Here is a 16,002-nt window from a genome sequence, read left to right on the forward strand (position 1 = left end):
AACTTTGAATAATGAGTCAATAAGGGAATTATCATAGTACTATAAATCACAGACCTCCAAAGAATGTGTTACAAAATAAATGATAAAAGATATATTGGAAGACAACTATAAAAATTGATAAATAAACGTTGGGATAAAGTCCAGACATCCAATTATTTAAATAAAGATATATTTAAAAAATTAATATAGCTGTTTCACTTAATGGAAACTTCTCTGGAGCCTATATACAAAAGTAAGGAAGTGCATGACTCTGGCAAACGTGAAACAGGATTGTCAAAGCAGGGCCAGGTATTGTCTCTAAATTGGGATTGATTTCCATCTATTGACCAGTCCCGGTTGCTGCTCAGTGGAACGGTAAGTGAAAAAATAATCACCCTCTTTAAGCAAATAAAAGAGTAATTTAATTATGTAATAGTAGTCCAATATGTTTTTATATATTGTAGAGAATAAACACATTTATTGTAGAGAACAAATACATTTTATATATTGTAGAGAATAAATAGAATAAACACAACATAGAAAAGGAAAGAGAATAACCTATAGTTATAGGCACATGGCAGTAAAACTAATCAGTGAATCAATCAACCCTACTGTGGGTTAGGCACTTGTATTAAATTCCAAGGGCACAATGGCAAACAAGACATGGTCCCGAATCTCAGTTATCAGTTACTTAGAGGGTCTTCTGGTATCTAATCTAGAGCTGAGTAGACTTTTAAATGGATCATGAGTAAGAGTACAAAAATAGATGGTGCATAATTGTTTATACAAAGTCTTTTCCCTGTCAATGACATAAGTAACCCTGGTATTTTAATATAATGCTTTATGCATTTATTGCTTCTTATGAGATTAAGGAGTTATGATTTAAAAATTGATTTGACTAATTAAATATAAAATTTATAAATGTAAAATCTGATTTAGTTAAGGTGGTCATCTTTTACAGATATGTACCTATATAGTCAAATATTATTTCAAGGTGAATCTTTTTATATTCAATAGATTATATGTATAATAAATGGTTAATCAATGAAAAACATTATCCTTGACCTTATTTAGTCAATTTAGTTTGTAAACAATTAGACATTTACTCAACTTAAGTAACTAAAAGTTATGAGGGGACCAGCAACCACTTGGCTGTAAGAATGGTGAATGTGATCTTTAGTTTAGTGTAACTAGATAGGCTTCTACTGATGTTGCCTGTAGCAATATAATAAGAAAATATCATTAAAAGATTACTTCCACAATGGTTGAACTAGTTTACAGTCCCACCAACAGTGTAAAAGTGTTCCTATTTCTCCACATCCTCTCCAGCACCTGTTGTTTCCTGACTTTTTAATGATTGCCATTCTAACTGGTGTGAGATGATATCTCATAGTGGTTTTGATTTGCATTTCTCTGATGGCCAGTGATGATGAGCATTTTTTCATGTGTTTTTTGGCTGCATAAATGTCTTCTTTTGAGAAGTGTCTGTTCATGTCCTTCACCCACTTTTTGATGGGGTTGTTTGTTTTTTTCTTGTAAATTTGTTTGAGTTCATTGTAGATTCTGGATATTAGCCCTTTGTCAGATGAGTAGGTTGCGAAAATTTTCTCCCATGTTGTAGGTTGCCTGTTCACTCTGATGGTAGTTTCTTTTGCTGTGCAGAAGCTCTTTAGTTTAACCATTGTGGAAGTCAGTGTGGCGATTCCTCAGGGATCTAGAACTAGAAATACCATTTGACCCAGCCATCCCATTACTGGGTATATACCCAAATGACTATAAATCATGCTGCTATAAAGACACATGCACACGTATGTTTATTGCGGCATTATTCACAATAGCAAAGACTTGGAACCAACCCAAATGTCCAACAATGATAGACTGGATTAAGAAAATGTGGCACATATACACCATGGAATACTATGCAGCCATACAAAATGATGAGTTCATGTCCTTTGTAGGGACATGGATGAAACTGGAAACCATCATTCTCAGTAAACTATCGCAAGAACAAAAAACCAAACACCGCATATTCTCACTCATAGGTGGGAATTGAACAATGAGATCACATGGACACAGGAAGGGGAATATCACACTCTGGGGACTGTGGTGGGGTGGGGGGAGTGGGGAGGGATAGCATTGGGAGATATACCTAATGCTAGATGACGAGTTAGTGGGTGCAGCGCACCAGCATGGCACATGTATATATATGTAACTAACCTGCACAATGTGCACATGTACCCTAAAACTTAAAGTATATTAAAAAAAAAATTAAAAAAAAAAAAGAAAAAAAAAAGATTACTTCCATGGGTAAAAACCCATTTCTCTATGAGAATGAATTATTACTTGCTAACAGGCAATATGCATATTCTGCCCTACAAAATATTTAAACACCATTTTAGGAGAGTGGTTGAATTTTTAGAAAATATTTGCAAGACATAATTAATGAGTACCAATCCTATTCTGTTTAGCTTTAAGAAAACAATAAGGTTATTTTCTTCCAAGGAAGTTTTATATACACAACAAAAGGTTACAATTTAAGCTAAATATCATGGACCATTTTTGTCCATCTTGTGGAACTTATTTTTTTGTAAATATAAAGATTAAATATTCAGGTGAAGACACATATTCTGGATACACAACTATTACATATTTTCCAAGAGTGAATACACCATACAATAAACAGAACACAGAAACTATAGGAAAGTGGCATAATTTCTCTTAATTCATCAATTTTATATATCTTCACAATCTTACAATGCATGTGGATCTTCATATGAAAAAGAAATCAATGATATTGACACTGGATGGGCACAGAATAGTAGAAACTGGTTGCTAACGTGACAAAGAAGGTGACTTTTAGTATTTTTGAATTTATTAATTTTCATTTAAGCAAAACCTAACACTAATATCCCATCAATTTTTGATACACTCTTTACATGCTCATTAAAATTACAATAACATTTTTGGTATATTTTTTGTATGCACATTAAAATTAGAGCAGGAGCAAATGATCATGTGTGACACCATTGGGCATAAATGTCTAGAAGAGGTAAACTCTTTCAGCTAGAAATAGACACTTGTTTTATATATATATAACTTCAAAGTGTAAGATATCTCCAGCCTGCCAGTGGACTGTTTCATAGGAAATATCTCACACCTGAGAGGAATGTTCACCTGCCATTATTAGCAGTGCCAAATGAAGTCACTTGCCTGTGTAAATCTTGAGTAATGTGGCATGTTAGGGCTCAAGATCATAACCACAGCTAATCATTAAACTATAGAAAGTTTAGCTGGCCTGCCACTGAAAGATTGAACCTAATCATTCTTTGAACTTCAGTCTGGAAAAGGTACATACATTATGCCTGATATCTTAAGAATTCTCTCTTTACAGGACAGGAAAAAATGAAAATTCGAGTATAGTTTTAAAAATATCCAAACTCTTCATGATCTTTCTAGATAAGGCTTTGGCCTTATAGAATAAGTATAAGTGTGATAACTTCTTGGTGACAAGAAACAAAAGGGAAAAAAGAAGGCTCTTAAGAAAAATAGGTATTACTAATGTTAATGAATACAAATAAATTCTCATGAAGTAGATAATGAATTTGAGAGTTTCGTTAGAAAACATGTCCTTTTTTATTCCTTCCAATAACCTCTGGAGACTCCAACAATAAGGAAAATATATTCTTACAAACAAGAGTATAGTAATACTGACTACTCATTGACACTTCCATTCCTGAGAGATATTTACCAGACTTAAAGTTAGGAGAAAACTTTAGCTATTGATTTATCACTTAAAGTAGCTTACATGTTTTAATACAACCTAGCTATTCTTAAAGCTAGAGTGGCTGGATCACTATAAAAACATCAATAATGAACATATTAAGCAATAATATCTTGAAAAACTGTTTTAAAAACAGGAAAAATAAATGTCCACTTTTTGTGCAAAAATCTGTAAAAGTTTTAAGATGCCACTTTACAGAGGTCAAGCTGATGATCCATTAATTAGGTTATGACTGCATTATTTTAAATACATGTATTGTTTTAAGACACTCCTTCACATGTCTGCGCGAACAAAAGAAGCAAATACTCCATTTTCCTGAGCCAAGAGGCTTTCTGGAGTGTCATATTCTAAAATATTTCCTCGCTTCATCACAATAACCAGGTCTGCCGTCAGAATAGTGTGTACTCGATGCTGTGAGTGAAAAGAAAACATGTATTTGTTACACATTTCAGGGCACACGCCAAAACAATGGAATATGTATATTTCATGAATTATTCTGGGACATTTGTTTATCTTGGTGAGTGACAAGATGTAGGGATCACAGACACCTCCCCTTTTTTCCTTATTTAAATTATCATTTATTTACATATTTTTAAGCAATGGCCAATATGGCTGGGTTTTCTATGGGCTGTACTAACTTGAGTGTAGCTAATATATCAGCGTCATCATTTTCATGAAACCTTAAGTTTAAGTAGGGTAAAATTGTTTATCGAGTAATTAAATTAAGAGAGGCCATTGTAAACCAGTTGGGTTATACTTTAATGTCAACAATAATTATCTCTTGTGTACAGTCACTAATTATTTGGGCTATAACACAATTCGAAGAACCCTGGAAAGTGGTTTAGTTCCGGGATGACAATATGGGGAAGTCCATTCTGGCATGCAGTAATAGAATGGATTACCCAGGCCTTTAGACATGCAGTCTCAGTCTTTGGAGATCACTGCCACTGACCCATTCCTTCTTTCCACGCGATGCCCTTTGGATTAATTAGTAACTAACAATGATAAAAGCTACCACTTTCTGAGCATATGCCATATATTAAGTTCTCCACACACATTCTTGTGAATCATTAGACCATTCCTCAGCTGTGGGTGTTATGTCTCTCCACTTTATAGGGGAGACCATTCACAGAGATAAAGCAAAATCAGGAGGTCACATAGATAGTAAGTAGCAGAACCAGTATCAAAATTAGGTTTACTAATTTCAAAATGTGAGCTATTTCCATCCTGTCATCTAACTGTTTCATAAGGCTCTCTGATACCTTAGAGGAGCATTCACCTGCCATGTCAGTGTTATGGTTAAGAGAACAGGCTCTGAAGATAAACTGGGCTTGTGTATTTTGGCTTTACCACCTGTTAGTAGTGCAATCTTGAGCAATATACTTAACATTGTATAGTTCCAGTTTCACATCTGTAAAATTATGGTATAGTACCTGCCTCAGAGAAGGGTGATGAGGTTCAAATGAGATAATCCATATCAAAAATTCAGCACTTTGTCTGACATATACAAACAAATAATAAATGTCAACTACTATTATTTTTTATGTTTATAAATTAGAAAGGAAAGATCTGTGTGATGGGCTTTTACTCTTGCTAAGATCAGTATTGTTCAATAGAAGTATAATGGGAGCCACAAGTAATTTTAAATTTTCTAGGAGCTACATTTTCAAAGTAGAAATAAACAAATGAAAGCAACTTTAATACATTTTAACCCAATCTATTCAGATGTTATCATTTCAATATGTAACCAATATAAAAATGATTCATGATAACTTTTACATGCTTCTATTAGTATTAAGTCTTTGAAATCCAGTACAGATTTTACACTTATGGCACTTCTCAATTCGAACTATCAACATTTCAAATAATAGCCACATGTGGCCAGGGGCTACCATACGGAACCTGAACTATGCAGGTCAAAATATTAGTGTGCTGATGGGAGTCCCTGTCCAGAGTTCTAAACCTAAAAATGCCATCTGTTTAGCTGATACACAGTCTTCCAAAGTGCTTCTCTGAACATTCCAAAGTCCTACCTAAAACCATCCCCAGAGTTGAGGGCCTACATTCTGCCCTGGGCCATGTAGATAGGGTGGGCTCAGTGTTTATGCTTTCAGAAAAGCCAGCAGTTATAGTTGTGACTCATGACGTGAGGGGAAAAGAAACATATATGAAATGTGATAATGATGCCAGCTTAGAACATGTGCCAGTTTTCAATACCCATGACAAGCCTATCATTCGCTGAATATTGGTAACAAATTATGTATTAGGTTGGTGCAAAAGTAATCATGTCAAAGACCACGATTACTTTTGCACCAACCTAATACATTGATGAATTAACAAGATTTTGGAGCCTAATGTTTATTTATCTTTGAGAAAGGACCAGAGCCATTTGCACACCCATGCATTTAGAAAAAGAAACTTAACAAGCTATCCAATAATATCTGCTGTGCATTTTCCTTCCAGAAAAATATTAGCTGTTCAATAGCCATATCATGGATGTCTAAAAAAAGAATTTGGCCTCTAAACCCATAAATATAATCTTATAAACATTGCATTGATATTCTAAAATAATATTTACTAGAAAAAAATAAAAATAAAAACATTAGGCCAGGCGCAGTGGCTCACACCTGTAATCCCAGCTCTTTGGGAGGGCGAGGCGGGCGGATCACAAGGTCAGGGGTTCAAGACCAGCCTGACCAAAATGAAGAAACCCCATCTCTACTAAAAATACAAAATTAGCCGGGCATGGTGGTGCATGCCTGCAACCCCAGCTACTCGGGAGGCTGAGACAGGAGAATCGTTTGAACCCAGAAGGCGGAGGTTGCGGTGAGCTGAGATCGAGCCATTGCACTCCAGCCTGGGCAACAAGAGTGAAACTCTGTCTCCAAAAAAAAAAAAAAAAAAACATTGAAAAATCTTGGTCAACAGAAATAAATATAGTTGGTTTTTATTCCATTAATCCAAATAACTTTTCCTTGACAAAGTGTGGTGTCAATTGTAATTGTGTTGATAAAATTTTCAAAATATTCCAGAGAAATTAATCGTGTAATCACTTTCAGAAATAAATACCATGGACTATTTTGGTGTGTGAGTGCTTCCTTTCAGAAGCTGGAGAAAATTATCTTGTTAAGGCATTCCACAATTTTAGTGGCAGCTAACCAAAGTAATAAGCTCTTAGGCAGGAAAGGAAAAACAGTTAATTTTAAGAGTTTAAGTTAATTCTATAAGGAGTCTACCACAAGCATGGTGGTGCTCTCCCTTTTATGGGCCTGTTATGAGGAGTTGGTCCTCTAAAAAATCTTACAGTGATTCTTCCATGACAGCTTCATGTATATTAGGGGCGGGTGGGAGCAGGGAATTCTAGGTATCCTAGTGGCCACGTTCACATGAGTGGTTTTGAAATGAAGAATGAGTGAAAGAAATATAAGTCTATAGAAAAGTATTCAGTGAATGTAGAAGAGAAATTAGGTAAGAGGTAACCTAATTAGGAAACCTAACATTTTGTTAAAAATACAAATTATGCTCAAGTAATCTTCCAGATACAGACTAAATAGAACCATCCAACAACGCCATGCTTCATGCAGAGTAGGGAAAATTCTTCTTTTGAATAGGCAATGGTCTGTTTTCTCTCCCTCTCTCCACCCATTTTGGGGCAACAGGGAGTTCTCTCTCTTCCAAAATATCTCCCTACCTTTTCCAGCAAGAAAATTCTTGAAAATACTGAATAATTCTTTTTCAAGTTAACCAATTCTCCTACCCCTTAAATCATTCACACCTTAATATGAATTGAGTTAATTGGGTGACTCTCCTCTGGGAAAGAGGAACCACAGAGTTCACTGGAAAAATTCGAGAAAGTAGATTTTTCTTTACTTAGGCAGTTTGCAGGAAGTAGGCCCTGATGGGACATCATTTCCTGCCATCTTGAAAAAAGCTGCACTCCAAAGGGTTCTGTTTCTCCCATGCATCATCCAAGAAAGTGGAAGCATAGCAAGCACTCCATACACAACTCACATTACTCACCAGTGAAACTCAAGTAACTATGTAAATGAAACAATGCATTCTCCAGGGCAGGTAAGAAATGTGTATGGCATTTTTATGGATGCTTACAAAACATCCCTAAGGACTAGTGAAATTGGTCCTTAGAATAAGAGGTAAATTCAGTTAATAGGTTTCATAAATACTCTCTTTTGCATGTATATATTTGAAAACACATGCATGAGCTCCATTCGGTAGTGAGCATGACAAAAGCACTTGGTTGAGCTGATTTTGTAATAACACCCTGCAGTTAGTTCCCTCATCTCAGCCCTTCCCTTTATTCACAGCATTAGCCATGCCTTACTGAGAGGATACTGCTAAGATAACTACCGGAGAATGACAGACTTGGTGCAATAGATCATGATGGTCTACTTGTTGGTCATCACCAAAGTGGAAAAGAGGCCATTCTTGTGGGCGAGCAAATTTGGGACAGTATCACACTCCACTAAAATACCCTCAGAAAAGACTAAAACAAGGCCTGCATCCATAATAGAAGAGACACGGTGCTGGAGAGAAAAATAGAAAAGAAGAGAATCAGCAGAAGGAAAAATGTCCAAGTGACTCATTAAAAAATAGTTTTTATTAAGCAGTAAGCCTAAATATGAGCAAGAATCCACTTGCAAAGAGGAAAAGGCAGAAAACTGTGGACTACTGTAAGTGAGCTATAACGTGAATTACAAATATTTAAGCACTTCTTCTATTTGATTGGTGCTATCTAAAATAGAAAAAATTACCTGACCCTACTGTGAGATATCTCATTGTCTATTTTTTAGTAGATTAATGAATGGAAACATAGAAATTAGGTATAGATAGTAGCAGAATAAGCAATCAAATTTAGGAATTTTCTTCCTGAAACTGCTCATCAGACCATCAGATTATAGAAAAGAGAATTATTTTATATGAACTACCATTTTATCTGGTGAACAAGCAGAGGCCATGACCTGCTGGAATCCTTAGATTTAGGATGTCCTATCATTCTAACTTAGGGAAGTCAGTTAGGTAGAGCAGACAGTTTGGAAAAGAACAATGCTTTCAAAACATCTTCGTATTTTTTTTCTTTTTTGCACAGATACAGAAACATTAGCAGAGAAATACATAATTCAACACAAGTATATTTTGCTAAAACCTAAAGATGATAACATGTTAGAACAAAAACCAAAGAGGTATACCAACTCCGTCTTCTCATACTTACAGCTATTGTCACCACGGTCCGGTCTGCAAAGGCTGTCATTACTACTTTTTGCAAAATATTCTCCTGCAAAAAAAAAAAAGTGTAAATTTTCTCGGGATTACTTTGTCATCATAATATTTTGCCCCAAGAACAATCAATATTCCACTGAATCCCTTGTGAGCATTCTCAATCCCTCATTTTCTGTGGAAGTCATAAGAAGGGGCAGTCCCCAGCAGCAGGTTCATGCTGGATTCTGTACGTGTCTTTAAAACACAAATGAAAGTCAGTCAGTGATCAGCCAGAAGTGGGTGATAGATTTATTTCCAGGAAATGCAAAGAAGAAAATGAAATTAAATGGGTATCAAAGTGCTCACTTGAGTTATACCACAAAAAGTATGTATTTGAAACCAGCAAAATTCTGTAATGATGTTAACCTTTGAGTCAAAAAAGGGAAAAACTAAAATTGATGCCAAAAATTTGGACTTTGACACATAAATGGACATTCTAGGCAGCAACTGTTTTTATCTCCACCACAAAGCACTGTTATAATTATATTTTAAAGGCTGTTCTGGGTACAGATTCCATCTCTGTCCTAGAGGAAATCTTGGTTCAATTTTTAAAGTGAAGGAGTTCTTTCTTTCAATCATTTAATTCATATTCTCTCTCTCTTCTCTGTTGAGGCAGTATTACCGTTATAATAACCCTCAATGTGTCCTTTCTGAAGTCAAATTTTAATATCAAGTTAACTTTCAGAAGAATATTAATTGCTAGCTCATATGCAGTTTGTGATTTAATGAAACATTTTCCCTACTCAATCACAGCCTTCTGGACAGATCTTTCTTGGACACATTTGACAATTTCAAATAATATCTTTCAAAAGGCAAAATTTATGGCTTTTTACCATAAACACATAGAGAAGACTGTTATTAATTCTAGCCATTGTTAATCCCAGTGAATCATTCTTCTTCAAATTGCTTTGGGAAATAATGAGTGGTGTTGGTTAGTAATAGATTCTATTAAACAGAGATTTTCGTACTGCATTTCAGAACTTTTCTGGCGTAGTACTTGAATATAGTACAGTACCTCTCATCAACTAAGCCCTGGAAATTTACTGTTCTGAAAATTTTTCAAAAAGTTGTGGCAAATTTATTTTATGTTGATTGGTGATAGGAATGCCTTTCAACCATATGTTGGGCCCTATTTATTGTAATTCTCAATGTGCTATCATCAGTTCATCCAGTAGATGATTGAGCAGATTCTCAAAACAATAGTACTGAGGATTCAGAACCCAATCAGGAAATAATAAATTGTAATTTTCATGCACATTTCTCCAATTCGTCAATTTTAAAAGCTTAGATAATGCACTCACTGTGGCCATGTCAATGGAAGCTGTTGCCTCATCCATAATAAGAATGCTGCTTTTGCGGACAAAGGCCCTGGCAAGGCAAAATAGCTGTCTCTGTCCAACGCTAAAATTCTCCCCACCTTCAGTGACAACCGCATCTAAATCAGAGAAAGAAGCAAGGATTTCACTAAAGAAATGCTACTAACATTTACCTTGGACAAAATCATGAAAAACACATTATGTTGTATGACAGCATGATGGATATCACTTAGTGCTGGTGCAAGGACTTCATACTGGAACACAAAGAGGAACTCCACTTTGGGAAAATGAAGATGTCCCTAAATTATCTCATTTATGACAATAGGTAGTGAATTACCTCTGATAGGAGGATATAAAACATTTGGAAGACAGAAAGATCTTGGAAATTATTTAATTATTTAATACAATTCTCTAAGGAGATTACTTAATATAATTACCTAAGGCCCAGAGAGCTGAAATGGCTTGCCCAAAGTCACATTTAGCTAATTTGATAAGATACAGAATATTCTCAACTCTAATTCCACTTCTCTTTTCATTATACCATCTTTCTGGACTGTAAGTACCAAGTGGATAAGGACCGGGTTTATTTTTTTTTTGTCAGAATGTCCCTAGTACTGCGGTATCTTACACAGGAGCTGAATAACACACTGTTGTATGGATAAATGAATATGTCCTCATTATCCTTTTCTTTTTTTTTGGTTTCCATCTACATTTCATAAACTGTACTATTGTGAGTTTAAGAAAAATTCTGTTTCCAAATGTCTTTTTTATTAGAATTCAAACACCTTTCCCTAATGTCCTGGGGAAAATTTCTATTGATTATATTCTAATGGTATCAAAGTCTTATAATTTGTCATGATGGGAAAATAGGTATTTATTCTCCAAATTCTGATTTACATATAAGAGGATGCTGGACATAAGGAATGTTTCCACCAAAGCTGGCCTGAACCAAATCTTCATTAAGCCCTGGTCATCTTTACTAAGATGATGAGCACCATATTCAGTCGGTTACATAATGTAAATACAATCCCCTGTGGCCTGTGCTGTACCATAACCCCAAAACACTATGCCCACAATCTAAACAGGTGCATGCAGCTCTCATGTTAATGAAGAGGACTAGAAAGATGCAACTGTCTTTCCAAATATTAATGGTGAGAGAGGGGATCTCTAAATGCCAAGAGAGAAAGTTCTATAAGCATGCATTAATTTCTCAAGTAGACTTGCTGGGCTTTCCACAGGAGACATCAAAAAACTATTATGGGAGCTAGGCATAGTGGGGCACCTATAGTCCCAGCTACTCAGGAGGCTGAGGTAGGAGGATCACTTGACCCCAGGGATTAGAGGGTGTAGTATGCGATAATCATGCCTGTGAATAGCCACTGCACTCAAGTCTGGGTAACATAGCGAGAACTTGTCTCAAAAAAAAAAAAAAAAAAAAAGAAAAAATCATTATGGAAAGTTCATCCAGAGTTCTGGAATTATTTTCACAACCTGACCCTGGCAAGTCAATAAAACATTCCTTAAAGACATGCTGTCTTAACTTTTGTTTGTGGCATACTCTCTCCTTGGAACTTAATTAAAATAATAAAATGTAGTATTTCTGAGTTGGCCCTGCTTTTCAAATAAACTAACAGATAAACATAATTTTATTTTGTAGGTTGACTTTTTAAAAACTAGATGCCAAACACCACAATTTGGCAACTATATATTGTATATTAAATTTAGAATATCAATAACTATTATCTTTCCTATTGCTTTCTTAGATGAGTTAAGATGTTAAGGAAGCAAAGTCAAAAATTATACATGTTCCTTTTAATGAGTTAAAGATAGTATGAACTCTCTGTGGTTTCAATAATCACATTCATGCTGTCATCATTTATTTGTCAGACATTGTACAACCCCTAGGACTGAATTTTTATCAGTGATTGAGTACATGTTGTGTTCTTTACACAAGTGTTTAAAATTGATACTGCCTCAAGGCAATACAAAACAATGTCTTCAAACACAAAGAAAATTATGTTATATAAATAAAAAGAATTTTCCCTCCTGGCAGCAGAGAAAATGGCTACTAATGGGGCAAAATTGCCTTTCCCTAAGTGGTGCCAAAGACTTAAACCTAACAGCTCCTGCAATCCTTCCACTCATTTCCTGATGGTAGGTGATCAGACAGGTCAACTGAGAAAGAGTAACTACAGGGAAACATCCATTACAATGACCTGTACCCACCAATTGTGAAAAGATGGCAGAGATAAATGTATTAATTGGAATATTTTGGAGTAGTCACATAGAACAGAATTTGTTATCGGGTTCACCCTCTTGTACCCCATGCAAAAACATTAGATTTTGAAATATTCTAATGACTTTTAGGATATTATTTTAAATATAAGGGGATTTAACACTAAAGTTATGTGATTATAGCATAAAACGTAGATAGACATATGTAGGATTAATGGCATATATAAAAAATAAATATGCTATTTAGGAAATATACCTAGACCTCCAGGTAGAGATTTGACCATATTCTTCAGCTGAGCAATTTCTAAGGCTTCCCAGAGTCTGTCATCTGTGCATTTGCACTCTGGATCTAAATTAAATCTGTAGGGAAAAATTAGTTAATTAGTCAATAAGTGAAAATATAGAAACTTTTATGTATATTTGCTTATTGCTTTTCTTTCCTTACAATGTAAGTTCCATTTGTTTTGGTTACTGCTGTATATTCAGCACCTAGAACAGTGCCCAGAGCAGTGCAAGCACTGAATTCATGCTTGATGAATGAATGCATGATCTTAATAGTATAAAAAATTGTCTTGATATCATTATAAAACTTTGTATACATTATATCATATTATCAAGTTTGTTACCTAGCTCCATTGGCTCCAAACTATGCTTAGTATAACCCAAATAGTATCTAGCAAAATATTCCTGCAGGACTGATGCTACATACATACATCTCTATGGGAGCATATTACACTATTTTAGATCAGCTGTGCTGCCATCACCAACAATAGTAGTGTACTGGTCCATTCTCATGCTGCTATAAGGACATACCCGAGACTGGGTAATTTATAAAGAAAGAGGTTTAATTGACTTGCAGTTCTGCAGGGCTGGGGAGGTCTCAGGAAACTTACAATCATGGTAGAAGGGGAAGCAAACATGTCCTTCTTCACATGGTGGCAGGAGAGAGAAGTATTAAGCAAAGTGGGAAAAGCCCCTTATAAAACCATCAGATCTCATGAGAACTCACTCACTATTATGAGAACAGCATGGGGGTAACCGCCCCCATGATTCAATTACCTCCTACTGGGTCCCTCCCATGACACTTGAGGATTATGGCAACTACAATTCAAGATGAGGTTTTGGTGGGGACATAGCCAAACCATATCAAGTAGTATTCATAATAAATATATTTGGAGATATAAATTCACTATGGTATTGCTAAATTACTTGACACATCCAGAAGTTTTAAAGTAGTTTTACAACTAAATACTAGGCAATCTTACATACATTTTTTCTTTACAATAAAGAGTAATTAGTAAAAGGAGGTGGCAAACACTTCTTTGTAATTAAGTAGATGGAGGTTAGGAGCAAAATAGAACAAAATATGGTCAAATGAGAGATGTGATCTGGGGGATGATGCTGATATCATTTTGCTCTGTGTTCCCACCCAAATCTCATCTCGAATTGTAATCCTCACGTGTCCAGGGAGGGACCTGGTGGGAGCTGATTAGATCACTGGGGCAGTTTCCCCCATGCTGTTCTCATGATAGAGAGTGAGTTTTTATGAGATTCGATGGTTTTAAAGTGTGGCAGTTCCCCCTTCACTCTCCCTCTTTCCTGGCACCATGAGAAGATGTGCCTTGCTTCCCCTTTGCCTTCCGCCATGATTGTAAGTTTCCTGAGGCCTCCCCAGCCATGAAGAGCTGGGAGTCAATTAAACCTCTTTCTTTTATAAATTACCTAGTCTCAGATCATTCTTTACAACAGTGTGAAAACAGACTAATACAGATGCCAACATGGACTTTGGAATCAGGCAAACTTCAGTTGGAATAGCAGTTCTTCCACTTACTAGGTGTACAAACTTGGTTTAAGTTACAGCTTCTTTGAGTTTCAAAACCCTCATCTATAAAATGGAGATAATAAATATCTACCCTAGAGTAACGGTTTGAGAATTTAATCAGATAATATATTTAAAGCACCTAGCAGATGGTTGATATCCCCCCCGCCCTTTTTTTTTTGGTGGGAAACCCTGAACCAGGTATGAAGACTGTAGCAGCTTTATTCATAGCAATTTTGGCTGAAGTAAAGTTGTAAGGGGTGGAGGGATAGATAAAGGGATTAACCAAAGTCAGAATATCTGCTGAGGTCAGGCCAGACACACAAGTTAGACTGGATATCTGTAAGATGGAACACCTTAGAAATGTCTGCCAAGCATCACCGTTCTCAAGTATAGTGGAAAAAGTGGCTTTTATAGAATCAAACTGAAAGGGATGAAGATCTCCTGGAAACATAATTTTATAGGTTAATTTACAACTCTAGGCTTTTCCAATCCAAATTGTTGGATGGTATATTTGATTTTATTGCCTTGATATCAGTTCACTCATACCTGAAAAATGACTCTGAGTAAAACCTTTCTATGAGTCAAAGGCTAAATCCTAAGGCATACAGGTGTTGCTAAATATGTTACCTACCTAATGGAACCACTGAATAGTATTGGATCCTGCAGAATGATTGAAAGTCTAGAACGTAGTGTGTGCAGTGGTAATTTGGAAATGTCTATCCCATCAATGACAATTTTTCCTGTTAAGGAGAAACAGAAGTTACACACACATAGTAAAATCACAAGTAAAATAATATTTGTTTACAAATTGAAAGTTATTTCTTAGTTAGGGGTTGAAATTCAGGAGACCCACTTTTCCATTTAAGCATGTGGTGATTCCTCAAGTATCTAGAACTAGAAACACCGTTTGACTCAGCAATCCCATTACTGGGTATATACCCAAAGGATTATAAATCATTCTACTTTAAAGACACATGCACACTTATGTTTATGGCAGCACTGTTCACAATAGCAAAGACTTGGAACCAACCCAAATGCCCATCAATGATAGAGTGGATAAAGAAAATATGGCACATATACACCATGGAATACTATGCAGCCATCGAAAAGGATGAGCTAATGTCCTTTGCAGGGAAATGGATGAAGCTGGAAACCATCATTCTCAGCAAACTAACACAGGAACAGAAAACCAAATACTGCATGTTCTCACTCATAAGTGGGAGTTGAACAATGAGAACACATGGACACAGGTTGGGGAACATCACACACTGGGGCCTCTCGAGGGGTAGGGGGTTAGGGGAGGGATAGCATTAGGAGAAATACCTAATGTAGATGATGGGTTGATGGGTGCAGCAAACCACCATGGCACATGTATACCTATGTAACAAACCTGCATGTTCTGCACATGTACCCCAGAACTTAAAGTATAATAAAAAAAAATCTTGTGTCTCTAAAAAATATACATATTTGGTGGTGATTTTTCTTTCTTATATATTTCTCCTAAGGGAATTCAGAGTTTTTATTCTGTTTATGTGATCATACCAACCAAAAAGTATTTTTATCCCTTACTGAGTACTTTTCCTTCTAGTATTCCC

The 16,002-nt window shown here is 35.7% G+C and overlaps 1 protein-coding gene and 1 long non-coding RNA gene across 9 annotated transcripts in view; one reads left to right on the plus strand and one right to left on the minus strand.

The window, feature by feature from the left end:
• Positions 1 to 16,002, plus strand: part of KCNJ8-AS1 (KCNJ8 antisense RNA 1) — a 166,949-nt gene that overhangs the window by 134,698 nt on the left and 16,249 nt on the right. The gene's annotated exons all lie outside the window — the stretch shown is intronic.
• Positions 379 to 16,002, minus strand: part of ABCC9 (ATP binding cassette subfamily C member 9) — a 144,038-nt gene continuing 128,414 nt past the window's right edge. For 7 of the 8 annotated variants that reach the window (XM_005253288.5, NM_001377274.1, XM_005253290.5 and 4 more), the window contains 5 exons: positions 15,039 to 15,147; positions 12,842 to 12,945; positions 10,336 to 10,469; positions 8,988 to 9,050; positions 379 to 4,171 (listed from right to left, as the gene is read on the minus strand). In XM_005253288.5, coding sequence (XP_005253345.1) covers positions 4,034 to 4,171; positions 8,988 to 9,050; positions 10,336 to 10,469; positions 12,842 to 12,945; positions 15,039 to 15,147 — 548 coding nt within the window. In that variant the 3' untranslated portion in view covers positions 379 to 4,033. Of the gene's footprint in view, positions 4,172 to 8,125; positions 8,302 to 8,987; positions 9,051 to 10,335; positions 10,470 to 12,841; positions 12,946 to 15,038; positions 15,148 to 16,002 lie in introns of all 8 variants that reach the window. The other variant, NM_005691.4, reaches the window with a different exon arrangement.

Source organism: Homo sapiens, chromosome 12 (assembly GCF_000001405.40).
Source record: "Homo sapiens chromosome 12, GRCh38.p14 Primary Assembly".
Classification (NCBI taxonomy): Eukaryota; Metazoa; Chordata; class Mammalia; order Primates; family Hominidae; genus Homo; species Homo sapiens.